General features: G+C 39.4%; 1 annotated feature.

The window, feature by feature from the left end:
- Positions 10663-10732: an enhancer, noted in NCBI's record as "active region_22619". NCBI's record gives its function as "activates an Ori minimal core promoter by ATAC-STARR-seq in GM12878 lymphoblastoid cells {active_cell/tissue: GM12878}" and the evidence as "EXISTENCE:reporter gene assay evidence [ECO:0000049][PMID:35858748]".

An 18215-nucleotide genomic window follows, 5' to 3' on the forward strand; every position in this document is an offset into this window, starting at 1 on the left:
TCTATTTACTATTAATTCTACACAGTGTATTTTTTATTTAAGATGTTAGTTTTTTTCTTCAGTAGTTTATTTGGATCTGTTTTATATAATTAATTTTTTTCTCCATATCATGGTCATGTTTTCCTTTATCTTCTTAAACATATACAGGATATTTATAATAGCTGTTCTAACATTTTTTTTTTCAGATTCTTGTCTGCTAGTTCCACCATCTCTGTCATTTCAGGCTATTTCTGTTAATCGAGTTTTCTCATGCATTTAGTTCTTATTTTCCTACTTTATTGTAAGCCTGTTAATTGGTTATTGGTTACATTGTTGATTGCTGGATTTTGTGGTATTCTTTTTAATAGTGTTGGATTTTTGTCCTGGTGTACAATTAATTTACTTGGAATCATTCGAATCTTTTAAAGACTTCATTTTAAGTTTTGCTAAATTAAAAGAGTGGCCTTTAGTAGTATGGGGCTAAAGAATATCTGATTCCATCCTACAACTTATAGATTATGAGTACTTTCCACTCTTACTCTGTATAAACTCTGGGAATTGTTCTGCCTAAATATCCTGATGGTTATTTTCCTGGCCTCAGATAGTTTCTGCTCAGACACACACAGATGGGTATGCAGCCAAAGACTCAAGAGGACCCCTCTATAGATCTCGTGAGCTTTTTCTCTGGGCAACTAGTACTTTGACCAACAATATTTTACTGCCTCAGCCTCCCTGAACTCCTCTTCCTGTGTTTTTACCTCAAAGAGACTACTGAATTTTGATTTCCTCATCTCTGCACTGCAGTCTAAATTGCCTCCTAAGCAATAAACTGGTACAATTATTCAGCTGACCTTATTTGTTTACCCTCTGTCAGGAATCACAGTCTCTTGATATCTGCTGTTCAACATCTGTGTAGTAGGCACCTTCTAAGATGGCCCCTAATGATCCCAGCTGTTATGGTTTGGCTCTGTGTCCCCACCCAAAACTCACCTCGAATTGTAATCCCCACAGGTCAAGGGAGGGACCTGTAATCTCCATGTGTCGAGGAACGGAAGTGATTGGATTATGGGGGTAGTTTCCTGCATGCTGTTCTTGTGATAATGAGTGAATTCTCACAAGAACTGATGGTTTTATAAATAGTAGTTTTTCCTGTGCACTCACATTCTCTCCTGCTGCCATGTGAGAAGTCCCAGCTTGCCTCCCCTTCACCTTCCACCATGATTGTAAGTTTCCTGAGGCATCCCCAGCCATGAGGAACTGTGAGTCAACTAAACCTCTCTTCTTTATAAATTACCCAGTCTTGGCTATTTCCTTAGAGCAGTGTGAGAACAGACTAATACACCAGCCTACTGGCATTTGTACTTATATAACCCCCTCCTCTTGAGAGTGGGCTGGATCAAGTGACTAACAAATAGAATAAAGCAAGTGTGATAGGATGTTACTTCTAAGATTAGGTTACAGAAGGCTGTGACCTAACTTGCAGCAGACTCATGCTGGCTTTTGATGAGGCAAGCTGCCATGTTGTAGAGGACCAGATGGCAAGGAACTGAGGGCAGCCTTTGGCAAACAGCCAGCGAGTAACAGAGGCCCTCAGTCCAGTGGCCCACAAGGAACTGCATCCTGCCAACAACCACCTGAGTGAGCTTAGAAATGGATCCTTTTCCAGTTGAGCATTCAGATGAGACCACAGCACTGAATGCCTTGATTGCAGCCTTATGAGAGACCCTGAGCCCAAGGACCGAGTTAAAACATGCCTGGATTCCCGAACCACAAGAATGGTGAGACAAAAAATTGTGTGTTGTTTCAAGCTGCTAAGTTTTGGAGTAACTTTTTACTCAGCAATGGATAACTAATTTCATCTGAAAATCATTATTTTATATATTGTGTCTGTTTTTGTCCTGTCATTTAAGATACAAGGATAAATGAGGTCTTTGTTACTCTATCTAGGTCAGAAAGAAGTCCCAAACCATTCAAATTAATATCTCTAAAGACAGGACCAAGATATTAATAGTTTGTAAAGCTTTTCAGATGATTTCAATATACAGTCAACTACAAAAGCCACTGTCTTAAATCAGTGATTCATAACCTTTAATGTTTATGTGAATCACCTGGGAATCTTGTTAAAATAAAAATCCTGTAATCCCAGCACTTTGGGAGGCCGAGGTGGGCGGATCACCTGAGGTCAGGAGTTTGAGACCAGCCTGACCAACATGGTGAAACCTCGTCTCTACTAAAAATACAAAATTAGCCAGGCATGGTGGCAGGCACCTGTAATCCCAACTACTTAGGAGGCTGAGGCAGGAGAATTGCTTGAACCTGGGAGACAGAGGTTTCAGTGAGCCAAGATCACGCCATTGCACTCTAGCCTGGGCAACAAGAGCGAAACTCCTTCTCAAAAAATAAAAACAAAAATAAAAAATCCTGATTCAGTAGGTCTGTAATAGGACCTGGGATTTTGCATTTACAACAAACTCCCAGATCATGCTGATGCTGCTGGTTTGTGGACCACATCTTGAAGAGCAAGGATTTAGATTATTGAGTGCCTTCTGTTTATTTCATCTGTTGAGAAACTTTAAGTTTCTTAACATCTGTACCAAAAGATATTTGAGTAGCTTTACTCTCTAATTCAAAAACACAACTCTCCATTATTGAGTGTCTCATTAAGTTATTAATTCAGCAAATATATTTTTTATATTTCTTGTATGACAACCTCTTTGCTAGATGAATGAGACACGGCCCCCTATCCCTTGTGATCTGCAGCCATTCTCAGTTTAATGGATAAAGCAGACATGTAAGGCAGTACTTTATAATGCAGGCAGATAAATGCAAAACTAGAAGCACAAACTAATTATGAACTCTCTGTTAGGGTGCAATGATCAGGGAGTCTTTTGAAGAGGTGATGTTAAATTAGGTTTGGAGATATGAATGGCCTTCCCAATGTGTGAGTTGGAGAGCGATGTTCGAAGAGAGTAAATACTAGGACTTCCAGCTCTGCTTCCTCTCACTGCTGGAGAGCCTTAATCTTAGTGTCTCAGGTCTGGATTTTGAGGCCTTAGGCCCAGATAACTGTTTGCTGTCATGCAAATTGGATTCTTGGTGGTCTTCACTGAAGTCTTAGAACCTGGAGATAGATAGGCAGATTACACCTCACTGTCTTCACCCTCTGTGTTTAAGCAAACAAATTTAAGAGATATTATCTTACTTTTAGTCTCAAGTTGGTTTTATTATCAAAAAGTTTCAACTGTCAAAAATTAACATTTTTATCTCTACTCATTTTATCAGAGTGGAGTGTAGGGGCGGGGAGTGGAACAGATAGACAATGCATGCTTCACATTTATTTTATACTTATCAGTGTTTCTGACTGTTCCTATCAGGAGAAATATATGTTGTGAAACTTCTTTCAACGCCCTTCCAAAATATTTCAGATTAACAAATGAAAGTAATAGATGACCCTAACTATGCAGAAAGCAAAGCAGAGAAGTTTAAGCTTTTCTCTACTGGGACCATAGGTAAGAGACTGTTAGCTTCCTTTGTGCAATGTAGGCTTATGAACTAAGCTAGAGTTTTTCCCCTTGAGGTGGAAAAATCAGTCCCTCTGTATCTCTCCACAATTTCTCAGTAAAGATTGGAGAGAAGAACAGTACTAGGTCCTCCCCACAGTTAGAACCTGAGGCCTCTTTGCTGTTCCTACACTGAGCCTAAACTCAGTGCGGCTAAGGGAATAAAATGTATACTTTCTAAGTATTCTGTGAGGTTTGTGGGCACTTCCCATCTAGACTAGCTTAGCTGAGTCCAGGTGATTTGCATTGGCATCACTTATACACGTCTGGATTATTTAGGAATGGCTGGGACACAGCTTCTATCTGATAGGTCTTTCATCCTCCAAAAGGCTAGCCCAGGCTTATTCACACAGTGGTGGAAGAATTCCCAGAGAGCAGCAGGAGACAGAAAATGCCAATGTGCAAGCAGTTTTCAAGCTTCTGCTTGCAACACATTTCCTAATGACCCACTTGCTAAAGCTAGTTATGTGATTACAGATCCAAGTGATGAAATTTACTCCACCTCTTGATGAGAAGGCAGCAAAGTCACATGGAAAAGGGTAGGCATATAAAGAATTGCAGTCCACCATAGGCAGCCACATCTTGCTTCTATTCTCAACACTCAGGTTAAATCATCCCGCACATCAGTTGTTCCTAGCCAGTCAAGTAAATACAGGCTGGTCACTAATGGTAACTTTCAGAATTACCTGTTTGTTCATCTGCAAGCTTGACCCACTTGTTATTCATCTCCCACCACACAGCCACTTAAGTGACTGCTCCTTTGAAATCTTGTCTTGTCTCTTGTTCACTCTCACTTGCTCACTCTTACCCCAAACACCTAACAATTCTGGCCTCTGCACATGTAGTTTCTTCAGGCTGGAAGGTCCTTCTACAGTTTATTCCTCTAATGAATGCCAATGCATATGTTAATCCATAACTCAAGCATCTCTGCCATTCAATCCTTTCATGACCTCCTCAGCTGGATCTAGATAAGCTCTTACACCTGTGCTCTCAGGTCACCTCATGTATAACACTAGGGTTGCACTGTAACATCACATCAAAATCCTTTATCACTCCCACTGGCCTGTAAATCTCCAAGGTCAAAGAAAACTTTTGGTCTTCTTCATCTTTCTGTTCCTGGTGCCTAGCCCAGGGTCTGGCTTGCAGTAGATGCCCAGTAATTGTTGATTGAGTACGTATGGTGCATAGTAAATAAGACATAAGTAACGCCATACGCAGGTAGTTTATATGGTCTGGTTGGAAAGACAATATATTTGCCTGTGAAACATCTGGAGAACAATATAAATTATTTGCTGCAAGAAATAAGAAAGGGAAAAAATATTTCCTAATTCAGCTTCCGGCATCTTATCTACCTTAAGTTCTTCCCTTTCCATCATATCTTTTTGTCTCTCTCCACCACCAAATCTAGTCTGTCATCATTTTTCTGCAGCTCCAGTAACAGGCTCTTTGGGTTCCAATCCTGCTGACTTTTTGACCTCATGCAAGTTATAGGTTATCCTCTGAAAATCTCCTTCTCTTCATCTGTTTTCTGAGGATCTGTGAGGATTAAATAAATCAAGACACCTAAAAGCACTTGGCCCAGTTCTTGATTCACAGGAGTGCTCAGTAAATATTAGTGTTTCTTAAGGTGCACAACATCACTATTGTTGTTACGTTTCCAGGTCACTTCTACTGCTTTTGTTCTGTCCCTAGTAATTCCTTTCCTGAGTCATTACAATCACATTCTGGAGACTCTTTCCCCTAACTCATCCTGCAACTTTTACCTGTTTGCCTTTTCTAAAAGAAATCTGACCACATATTTTGCATGCTTCAAAACCTTCCTTGTTTTCCATTGCCAGAAGAATTCAGTTGGAATTCTGGCTAAGGAGGCCAGAACCTGAAGGGGATGGGTTCCTAGAGCCAGAGCCCCTGGGAGGAGGTACTCACCCAACTATCACATCCCTGCTCCAGTGAAAGAGGACTGCCACTCAAGAGGGCTCATTTCTGGAGTGTTTACTCTATGCCAGGACTATACTGAACACTGTACCTTCCTGTACCTCCTTTAATCCTCTCAATACCCCTATGATGGCAATGCTATTGCTATCCTCATGTTATAAATGAAGAAACAGGCTCACAGGGCTTAAGTAATTTGCCCAAAGTTGCAGGTAGGAAAAAAAAAAGGTGCTAGGGTATTTTAAACCCTTGAACTCGACCAGTAGTTCTCTTCAATCATCTAAAACCATTTTAGGGTCTATTTATTTTAAGACATTATTAACAAAAAAATGCCTAAAGTAATATTTATTGCTTAAAGACATCACAAATTCTACCAAAGTGGCAGAGAGGCTTCATTCACTCTTGTTGGCTCATTTAGCAGCAAGATTTGCTTAGTTTTATCTTTTGTTCCCATGCCAAACCACAGTTAAATCTTGCTGTTTGGTGGAGGCTTTTCCTGAGCACCACGTTGCTTATAATTTAAATCTCTGTAGAACTGTTTGTGTTCCTGTAGGGAGATCCCTTTACCTGGAGTTTTATGTAGTTGGCTCTGGGAATGCTGAGAGTGCATGCTTTATCCTAAGTATGTGCATGCACTGCTTCTCTCTGGCCAAATTGTGCTTACCCATAGCTATGTTGTACCTGGTTTCATTTCCCCAAGTATGTGGTTTTCTGCCCTCGTCAAAGCCAAGGATGAGTGGAGCAGTGAGTCACATGTGTGATCGTCACTGTTTTCTCTACATTTTACAAGAGAACCCACAGAGACTTAACACGTTTCCATTCTTTTACTGGCTCCTTCTTAGATATAAGGAGAGATCAGAGAAAAATGCTGTGAATCACTTGGCAATGATGAACAATGGCCTACGGCAGAGAAATGAAAATGTCAGGTGTGTGGTTTTTCCAAACCTAAAATATTTGCTTTCAATGCAGTTAGCAGAGTTTTAATTACAGGGTGTTAAACCCTTGGAGGTGTCATGGTTACTCAGCACTCAATTTGATGATCATATGTAAAATAATAATAGCTTTATTGAGATGCAGTTTACATATATTCACAAAGTTGTGTGACCATCACCACTATCTAATTTCAGAACATTCTCATACTCCAGTAACAAGCTCTGTATTCATCAGCTATCACTTTTATTATGCCCCTCCTCCAGCTCCTGGCAACCACTAGTCTACTTTTTGTCTCTATGAATTTGCCCATTCTGGACATTTTATAGAAATAAAATCATACAGCATGTGGTCTTTTGTGATTGGATTCTTTCACTTAGCATAATGAGTTCAAGGTCCATTCATGTTGTAGCATGTATCTGTACTGCATTCCTTTTTATTGCCAAATAATATTCCATTGTATGGATATACCACATTTAGTTTACCCTTTCATCAGTTAATGGATATCTGGGTTCTTTTCACTTTTGGGATATTATGAGTAATGCGACAATGAACACTCATATACAGTTTTCTGTGTGAACATATGCTTTCTGCTGTCTTAGATATAGACCTAGGAGTGGAACTGCTGGGTCATATGGCAACTCCGTTTAGCTGTTTGAGAAACTGCCAGACTATTTTCCTAAGTGGCTGCATCATTTTACATTCCCGCAAACAAGTGTATGAGGGTTCCAATTTCTCCACATTCTTGCTGACATTTATAATTTATTATTTTGATTATAGCCACGTAGTGGCTATGAAATAGCATATCTTTCTGGTTTTTAATTTTTATTTTTTGCAATGGACTGAATGTTTGTCTCTCCCCCGTCTTTCTCCTCCACCTGCCATGTGAGGAAATCAGGAAGAGGGCTCTCACCAGAACCTCACCATGCTGGCCCCTGATCTCAGACCTCCCAGCCTCCAGAACTATGAGAAATAAGTGGCTGTTGCTTAAACCACTCAGTCTATGTTATTCTTGTTATAGCAGCCCAAACTGACTAAGACATCATGGTAAAATAGACATAAGATAAAGTTTATCATTTAACCATTTATAGGGTACAATTCAATGGTATTAACTGCATTTACAATGTTGTGCAACCATCACTACTATCTATTTCCAGAACTGTTTCTGTTTCCCAAACAGAAACTCTATAATCAATGAACAATAAATTCCCCATGTCCTCCTTTCCCCATTGAGGTTTTGACTTGTGTTTTGCTAATGGCTAATGATATTAAATATCTTTTCATGTGCTTATTGGCCATTTACATATATATATATATATATATATATATATATATATATATATATATATATATATATATCTTCTTTGGAAGTATGTCTGTTCAAGTCTCAGCTCACTGCAACCTCTGCCTCCCAGGTTCAAGCAATTCTCCTGCTTCAGCCTCCCGAGTAGCCAGTTTTACAGGCACACGCCACCACCCCCAGCTAATTTTTGTATTTTTAGTAGAGACGGGGTTCCATCATGTTGGCCAGGCTGGTCTTGAACTCCTGACCTCAAGTGATCTGCCCGCCTCAGCCTCCCAAAGTGCTAGGATTATAGGTGTGAGCCACTGAGCCTGGCCCCTTTGACCATTTTTAAATTGGGTCATTTCTCCTTTTATTGTTGGGTTATATATTCTGACTACAAACCTACTATCAGGTATATTATTTACAAATATTTTCCCTGATTCCATGGTTTCACTTTCTTGGTGAAGAAAGCACAAGTTAGTAATTTTGATAAACTTCCATTTACCTATTTTTGTTGTTGTTGTTTGCTTGTGCTTTTGGTATCATATCTGAGAAGCCATTGCCTAATCCAAGGTCACAATAATTTACCCCCATATTTTCTCTAAGAGTTTTGTAATTTTAGTTCTTATATTTAACTCTATGATCCATTTTGAGTTAATTTTTGTATATGGTGTGATGTAGGGATCCAACTTTATTTTTGCATGTGAATGTTTAGTTGTCACAGCACCATTTGTTGGAAAGCCTATTTTTCCCCCACTGAATTGTCTAGCACCATGACTAAAAATTAATTAACTGCAAATAGACTTTCACATGTATTCCATTCATCATATGTCTTTCTTTATGCCAGAACGACACTGTCTTTATTACTGCAGTTTGTAGTAAGTTTTAAAACTGGGAAGTGTGAGTCCTCCAACTTTATTCTTATCTTTCAAGATTGACTTGGTTCTTTTGGGTCCCTTACATTTCCATGTGAATTTCATGATCAGCTTGTCAATTTCTGCAAAAAAGCCAGTTGGGATTTTTATGGAGATTGTATTGAATTTATATGTCAGTGTTAGTAGTTTTCCCATCTTAATAATACTATGTCTTTACACCCATGAAGATAGTTTTCCATTTATTTAGGTCTTCTTTAGTTGATTTAAATATTGTTTTATAGTTTTCAGCACATAAGTCTTGCGCTACTTTTGTTAAATTTATCCCTATTTTATTGTTTTGATGCTATTACAACTGTAATTATTTTCTTAATTTCATATTTGGGTTGTTTGCTGCTAGAAATACAATTGATTTTTGAATTTTGACCTTCTATCCTGAAACCTTGCTAAAAGTGTTTATTTGTTCTAATAGTGGTTTTTGGTGGATTCTTCAAGATTTTCTAAATATAAGATCATGTCATCTGCCATAGAGATAATTTTACTTCTTCCTGTCCAATCTAAATGCATTTATTTCTTTTATTTTCTTTCTTTCCTTTTCCTTGACTAATTTATTTTATTTTAATTTTTTTAGAGATGGGGGTCTTATTCTGTCACCCAGGCTATAGTGCGGTGGAGCCATCATAGCTCACTGCAGCTTCAAACTTGGGCTCAAGTGATCTTTCCATCTCAGCCTTCTGAGTAGCTGATACTACAGGCATGCACCACCATGCCTGGCTAATTTTTTCTCATTATATTTTGTAGAGACAGGGACTCACTATTGCTCAGGCTGGTCTTGAACTCTGGGCATCAAATGAGTCTCCCACTTCGGCTTCCCAAAGTGCTGAGATAATAGGCATGAGCCACTGCAATCAGTGTAGAATTTCTTTTGTCAGAAGAGAAAAAGTCAAGAAGGGCAAGGCCAAGAATGTCTAGGAGCCCAGTATCTTGCAAATAAATCTATTTGTTGATATTCGTATTTTCTCATTCCTTGATTAAGAGATCTCTCTTCTCTGATTCCCCCATTTAGGAAGGAATGTGTAACTTAAGGCAGAGTACTTCTTTTAAAACATGTTCTTGGACGTTACCCAGTGATCCATCAACCAGCATTCAACCAGTTGTCTTTCACTTCCAATCTCCTATGTTATCCTAAACCACCATGTTGGACACAAGGGATAGAAAATATAAAATTTAAATAATAGAAACTGATGAACTTAGGTTGCCTTTCATTTGTGTACCCCAACCACCAGATTATGGTTATCAGTTTCTTCTTTTTGGCATCCTCACCCTAGCTTGCGATATCTGATACATATTTTTTTTCTGTATACCCATCTATGTCGGTGTTGGGAAATAAATGTCCCAACTTTGGAGGCTATGTTTATCATCTGGCCTCTGCTTCACGTGTGTTACTTAGCCTCCTTATTACCTGGCCAATGTAGAGAATTTAAAGTGTCTTCATAAATCTAATTTTAATTTTCTCTCAGTAAGAACTGGAAAATATGTCTAATTATAAGGATGCTATAGACTACAATAGAAGAATATTCAATTCCCACTAATAACCCTGAGAAGTCTGAAATAATGTGTTATTTTTGGAATTACTATATTACACCTTAGGCTGGCACAGCTATTTTTCAGGGAAGCAGCTGTAAAATAATAGAAAGAACAGTATGTTATGAGTGCAGTCCTGGGTTCTGGTTCTTCTGCAATTAGTTTGGTGTGTGGCCTTGGCTAAGTTATCAGTTGAGCTCTCTGGGCCGGAAATGAAATGTTTGAACTAAAGAATCCCTTGAGCACTGATATTCCATGATCCTGTGATGTGAATGAGAGGTGCTGTATGTAAGCCTAGTAAAGTGGGTCTGTATGCAAGCCAGTGAGAGAAGGCCATAACTTCCAGGAAGCACACTGCAGAAATGATGTCACCATAGCTACCAGGGCAGCAGAGTCTCTTGAAGAAGGACTTGCATGACAGTTTCAGTTTTACATCTCAGCACACTAGCCCGCATCATCTTTCCCTCCAAAGACCACAAAGCGGGAGGGGAAGCATATGACAACATATGGTACCGGAGCATGTATTCTGGATGAGATAATTCTTAAGAACAGAGTTCATCTAAGCAGAAGGCAATACAAATTCACAATCTCCTGAAGATTGTGAGTGTACAGCCTAGGGAGTTTCCTCTTTGATGTTCCCCCCACTCTAGCCTAATGGCCATCCTGAAGTAGGGTCAGAGGAAGGCCCAGAAAAGGTCCCCTAGCTATATGCTTGGAGCCGTTGCTCACCAATATGTGGCATGTCCCAGTTTGCCCAAGGCAGAGTCACTTGTTATATTAGTCCATTCTCGCACTGCTATAAATACCTGAGACTGGATAATTTATAAAGGAAAGAAGTTTAATTGGCTCACGGTTCTGCAGGCTGTACAGGAAGCATAGTGGCTTCTGCTTCTGGGGAGGCCTCAGGAAGCTTCCAATCATGGCAGAAGGCAAAGCAGGAATGAGGTGTTTCACATAACGGGAGCAGTGCAGGGGGGTGTGGGAGGCGCTACACACTTTTAAACAACCAGAACTCACTATCACAAGAACAGCACCAAGTGGGGGATGGCGCTAAACCATTCATGAGAACTCCACCCCCATGATCCAGCCACCTCCCACCAGGCCCGTCCTCCAACACTGGGGACTATAATTCGATAGGCGATTTGGTGGGGACACAGATCCGAACCATATCACCTATTATCACAGATTATTATTATTATTATTGTTATTATTATCATTTTGAGATGGTGTCTCGCTCTGTCACCCAGGCTGGAATGCAGTGGCGTGATCTCAGCTCACTGCAACCTCTGCCTCCTGGGTTCAAGCAATTCTCCTGCCTCAGCCTCCCGAGTAGCTGGGATTACAGGTACCTGCCACCACACCTGGCTAAGTTTTGTATTTTTAGTAGACACGGGATTTCACCACGTTGGCCAAGCCTAACAGGTCTCTAACTCCTGACCTCAGGTGATCCGCCCACCTTGGCCTCCCAAAGTGCTGGGATTACAGGCATGAGCCACTGTGCCCAGCCTCAGATAATTATTAATAGGACCCTTCTCCTCTTTAAAGTCTCCTGGCTTAGACAATAGATTATATGATCACCGTAAGAGCATGCTTATTCCTAGGTCCACCCATTTGTTTTTTTAAGTAATAAAATAAAATATTGTTCAATTAAATCCCTTCACTTGCTTCATTTTCGAACAGTATCAGCTTCCATCTATTGTGTACCCACTTGCAGCATGCTCTGGGCCAAGGTTTTAGACATGAAATCTTACTCACAGCGCCTAAGAGGGTATCATTAGTCCCCTTTAGATATGAGGAAACTGAGTCTCTAAGAAGAGAAAAATAGCAGATCCAGAATTTGAACTTAGGTCTGTTGGCATCAGAAGCCTTTTGTCATTACGCTGCTCTGTGTTAAAAAAAAAAAAAAAAGAAAGAAAGAAAGAAAAGAAAAAAGAAAAAAAAACAGAACAAAGTATTTTTAACCTTCAGGAAAGGTATATTGTCTCATTTGTATTTTTAGATTTAGAATGCTGATTAGTGAAGCACTTCAGATCCTGGCATCGACACCCATTGTGTCTTCTTTCTGTTCCTCAGTTTCCTCTTTAGGAAAATGGGACTAATAGTAGTTTCTACCTCATGGCAGGGTTGTAAGGATTAAGAACTAATATACATAGAGTGCTTAGAACAGTGCCTGGTGCACTGCAGTCTCTTTTTAACTGTTAGTGTTATTGTCATCATCACCACCACCATCATCACGTGATCATTTATACTTGAACGAAGTGCCCCCACTACACATGCTTCACTAATAAAGCTCCTGCTCTCCAGCACCCTTGGCTCTTCCCAACTGCTGCACTTCAGCCCGCCTGCCAGTTTCCACTTACCTTGCCATCTGTCTCTGGTTGTATTAATTTCTCATTAACATCCTTTTGTTGTTATAATTTCAATGAGTATAAAATATGTAAGAATTTTATGTTTTTACTGCAGAAACATAGTTTTTCTCCTTCTAGCACCTGATTCATCCAGCTTTGAAAAACTGCAGGGCTCTGCAGCAATACTTGAAACATTATAAGTTGAAGAGGTGAGAAAACTGGGGTCTCTGTGACCATTTCTCAATTTTGCAATAATTCACAGTATCACTTCACCCCCTAGTCTCTTTAGCTCTGAAATGGAAAGAACAACATTTAGTTTTGAGGTTCTTATACAGAAGTTATAGTCTTAAGGTAAAGAATTGGTAGATAACTATTGACTTAGGCATCATAATGGTTGAAGAACTTAAAATGTTGAGAATCACACAGAAAACATACATTTAAAGTTAAATATAATCTTTTTCTTATTACTCAAAAGAATAAAATGTTCATTGTTATATCTTATTTTCATATATGTGTATTTCTAAATTGTGTGTATATATATATAAACAAAAATGAGATCAAACTGAAGTATTGTTTTGCAGTCTGCTTTTTTCCTGTTACAAAGTACTGTAAACATCTTTCTATTCCAATAATATTCAGTTCTTTTTCAACTATTTTTGGCAGCAGAACTAATTTTCTGAAAGGAACCACCCTGCATAAGACAGATAAAATTGGAGCTTTTGAGGTTGAAAAAGGAATGTGAGAGCCAGAACATCATCCACTCTGTCTCCCACTGGTTTTTTTCTTCCCCACCCTCCAGTTGTTGCCCCTGCTATGGTTTGGATATGGGTTGTTTGTCCTCACCAAAGCTCATGTTGAAATTTGATCCCTGGTGTGATGGTGTCGGGAGGTGGGGCCTAGTAGGGGATGTGTAAGTCGCGAAGGCAGAGCCCTCATTAATGGGGCTCTTTTGGTAGTGAATGTGTTCACATTCTAGAGAGACTGGCTTAGTTCAGGGGAATGGATGAGTTGTTATAAAGCCAGGAGGCCCTATGTTTCTCTCTTAACATGTGTCTGCTTCCCCTTGAGCTTCTCTGCCATGTTATAACACAGCATGAAATCCCTGCCAGAAGTCAGGGCCATGACCTTGAACTTCTCAGCCTGCAGAACTCTGAGCCAAATAAACCTCTTTACTTTATAAATTACCCAGTTTCAGGTGTTCTTCTGTTGCAACACAGAATGAACTACGGTATCTGAGGTACCACGAAAGAACCCTGTGGATCCAAGGATCATTACAGCATGCCATTATATATTTAACGAGCATCTCTTCATTTAGGTTATTTCCAATTTTTTTTCTGTCATAAACAACACTGCAGTGAACATCCTCATAGCTAATCTTGGCATGTGTTATTTATTTATTTATTTCCTCAGAGCACCTTTTTAGAAGCAGAATTTCTGAGTTACAGTGTAAGTATAAATTTTTTAAAAAATCAATATTGCCAAAAATGTCTTTTTAGAAAGTCTGTACAAATTAACCTACTAACCTTGGGTATTTTCATTACAAAAAAATCTTGGCCAAATGTTTTGGTTAATGGCAAAACCATAAAATTTAGAGGAAACACCAGATACCATTAAATAGAGGAAGAGAGATGAGAATCTGTCACCCCACCCTCTCTTTCCCCCCTATACTCCCTCCTTCCCTCAGTCTCCACTTCCCTCCCAAAGGAATTTTGTTCTTTAATGTTTGCAGACATCCTGAAAGCAAAGGCCCTACCCTCTAAGAGCTTGCATTTTAAGGTTAAAAGATAATAAAATGTGGAGAAAAGTTTGCTCATTCCTATGAACTGGGCTTAGGACAAGTTCTAACATAGAAAACACTCTCGAAGTAGGAATTCAAGAGTCAAATGACCCTGAGAAGGTAGGCACTTTGGAAGAACATGGCTGGTAAGGGCAGATACAACCTGGCCATATAATGTAGCCTTACCCACCATGATAATCATTCATTTGGCCCACTGGGCACTGGACCTATGACTTTAGTGTTCCCAGTTTAATGGGAAGTCCTTGAAAAACCCATCTAGGAGACCCTTCACGAAATCACTTCCAGCTACCTGAGGGGAAAGTGCTGTTTCCGGTCATCTGCCACATCACCTACAACTCTGAGATATCATGGTGTCAATCCGTGGGTGATGAAACTGTGAAATATCATCTCCTTCAAGTTGGGTAGAATTTTTTTCCATTTTTCCTCTTAAATAAGAAATTGGCTTAATTTTCCCAGGAGATTCTTATGTGCTTTGCATTGAATATCTTTTGATTTCAAGGAGATCTCTACAGATTTCTCTGTGCAGGGAAAAGAACTTGAGGAGAGAGTTGGTAGTGGTAACCTTGGGTACACAGCAATGCTTTACTTTTCTATTTGATTACCCCTATTTTAGTAGGTCTCTGAAGGTCTTTAAGCTAGCGTTGTACATGCACTTCAAAGAACTTCTAAATTAAACTAAAAGTCTTTCCACAACAATTTCGTAAGATATAAATCATCTGTTATACCACAGGTTACCAGAGACCCCCAACTCCAGACTCAATACTGCACCAGGGCAGTTGTACAGAACTGACTGCCTTTTTGAAAACCTGAAGCACACCTCATCTACTCGACTCTACTTTCCTAAAGATTCTCAATGCTGGCTGAACATACATTGGCACCACTTGGAGGACTTTAGTAAGAGATGCCTGAGCCAGCCCCTGATATTTGGACACAATTGGCCTGGGGTGGGGCTGGACATCAGACTGTTTTAGGAGTTCCCCAGATGATTCTGTCAGATTCCTTCGAACCAGAGCAACTCCATCTTAAATAGGAGCTGGGTAAAATGAGGCTGAGACCTACTGGGCTGCAATCCCAGACAGTTAAGGCATTCTAAGTCACAGGGTGAGAGATAGGAGGTCAGCACAAGATACAGGTCGTAAAGACCTTGCTGATAAAAAAGGTTGCAGTAAAGAAGCCAGCCAAAACCCACTGAAACCAAGATGGCCACAAGAGTAACCTCTGGTCATCCTCACTGCTACCCTCCCACCAGCGCATTTACAAATGCCATGGCAACATAAGGAAGTTATTCTATATGGTCTGAAAAGGGAAGGCATGAATAATCCACCCCTTGTTTAGCATATAATCCAGAAATAACCATAAAAATGGGCAACCAGCAGCCCTTAGGACTGCTCTGTCTATGGAGTAGCCATCCTCTTATTTCTTTACTTTCCTAATAAACTTGCTTTCACTTTATGGACTCGCCCTGAATTCTTTCTTGCATGAGATCCAAGAACCCTCTCTTGGGGTCTGGATGGGGATCCCTTTCCTGTAACAATTTCGATTAAGAATCTTGAACTTTACCAAGTACTTCTCTAATTTCATCTTTTCGTCTAAGAATTGGGTTGAATTTAAAGTAGTCACTTCAAGGAAATTAAGAAAAATAAAGAGAAAGATTAGAAGAGAAAAATTTCTCCATTTTAACAATGCATTTCACTCTCCTAAAATAAAGCATAAATATTAGGGCAAGATCATTAACTTACCTGGAGGAAGGCCGAGCACTGGGGCTAGGACATGGGCAGTGTGGGAGGAGACAATATGACATTAAGATTGGTTTAACATATGAAACACCTTCTTACAGTGTCACTGCTAAATAGCTGGAATGGTTAAGAGCAATCGTTGCAAGCCAAGTTCTTGGCGCTTCAGAAGGCTGCCATACCTTTTCCTCTGGATCAAGCGCTTAATTACTTCATTTGCCTGAGATCTCATCGTGGAACTCATTACTAAATCCATCAGGACCTAGAGGGTGTCAGGATGATGTAGCAGTCTTATAAATTTCTTTATATTATCTAGTAATTCTTCTTGTACACTAAATGCTTCAGAATGACAGGAAGATGTAACTTATCATTGTGAGTGGGAATGACTTTGAAAACATCTTTTTCTCCTTTTAAGAGGAGAAAAGAGCAATGGAAAGAGTGTTTTAAATCTCCAAATTAGTATTTAACTAAGTTAGCATGAAACCTGTTCTCTTTCAAGCCCTTGATTGCTTTATTAGAAGTAATTGTTTATCTCGGTTTAAGAAAATTGGTTGAGACAGGTTACTTGCTTTCATGTCTCATTCATATCCACTTTATATTAAGTACTTTGAATGTATTTTTAACCCTTAATGTTTTGCAGACTAGACAGGAACCTACAGAAAGAAGAGATATGTTCTTTTAACATCAATATATTACTCTTATTAAAAATATTATTCTCACTAATGTCAAATGGTCTTTTCGTACCTAATGATCTTGACAAGAACAAATACAACCATGTGGATTTGGAATCAGGAGAGAACAGGGTCATTTATCTGTGGTGCTGTGGGAGAGACATTTTCGTTTTCAATTTTCTTCTCCATTTTCTTATTACAATTATTGTTTGGGTTCATTATGACAACTCCCATCATTATGTTCCAGCTCACAAGCTGGAGAAAGATTAATGGTAGAAGAAGATACAGTCTTTGGCATCAGAGCTACATCTAGCTGTTAATATAACAGAGTAGAAATACATGAAATCCATTTATAAGATTTATGCTTATGATGGAGAAAGTAGTACAAGGTATAAAATGTTAAGATGTAGAACCTGAAATGTTGGCAGGTAGCATGCAAATTTCAATCATTTATTCATTCAGTCATTCTTTCAACAAATCTTGAGCATTAATTATGTGTGCATCCTGTATGGTGAGCTTGAAATGAACTCTAATAAGACACAGCCTGATAAGGGATTGTGGGATGAGAAGTATGCACACGGTGGCAGTTGGGGATAGAGGACTTACTTATCTGGTTTTGACTATTCTGAAGACTTGAGTTTTGATTCTGATTATCTGGTGGGAAGCTCTGGGTCTAGGTGTCTATTATAATGATAACTAGTTTGTTTGTTTGTTTTTTAACGCAAAGCTTTGTTGTGAATAACCAAATGTACAAATGAAAACTATATTTACTAATTCATTCTGTAGTACAGAAACAATAAAAGCTCCACAGTGAGTCAATACAAGCCTCTAATTTCTCCTCACCTAAGAAATCAGTAATTCTTCTTTAACTGTTGTAACAATGAGAAAAGTTTGGTGCAGGCTGGGTTACTTTCTTCCAACATAGTAGTGTATCCATGTAGTTGCCTCCTTTGATGCTTTTAGAGATGCTTTCCTTGTTGCAGGTCCCTTGTAACTAACTTCAGAGAGTTAGACTTTGTTTTTTTAACCTTGGGAAGGTCTGCTGTAGGTCTTGTTTATGGGAGCACTCCAAATGTTCCCTCTGTGGGATTTTCTTTCTCAGCTCTATAGCTTTGGGTGGGGGGTTCTAAAAGCCTTTGAAGCGGAAGAGTCATTTCCTGTTTGGAGGCCTAAGTGTAAAGAAAGCCCTTTGTCATTGCTCAGAAATGGGGAGTCCATGACAATTGTTGTGCAAGAGCATTCAACACTCACCCAGGTAGAAATGGGTAGATGGGGATGTTGCCCTTTAATCACTTCTTGCTCAACATCATGTAGGTTATAATCAACACCGTTCTAGGCACTGGAGATGCAACAAAAGGCAGTGTTCCTAGCCCCAAGAAGCTTATAGTCTGGTGAGGGAGTCAGACAATTCTGGAACCATGTGACTAGTGCTATGATAGAGGTATGCAGGCAGGGGGTGGTTGCCATGGGATCACAGAGAAAGGTTACTTAATCCAGAAAAGTTCAAAGCATTTAAAGTTTTG

Source organism: Homo sapiens, chromosome 5 (assembly GCF_000001405.40).
Source record: "Homo sapiens chromosome 5, GRCh38.p14 Primary Assembly".
Classification (NCBI taxonomy): Eukaryota; Metazoa; Chordata; class Mammalia; order Primates; family Hominidae; genus Homo; species Homo sapiens.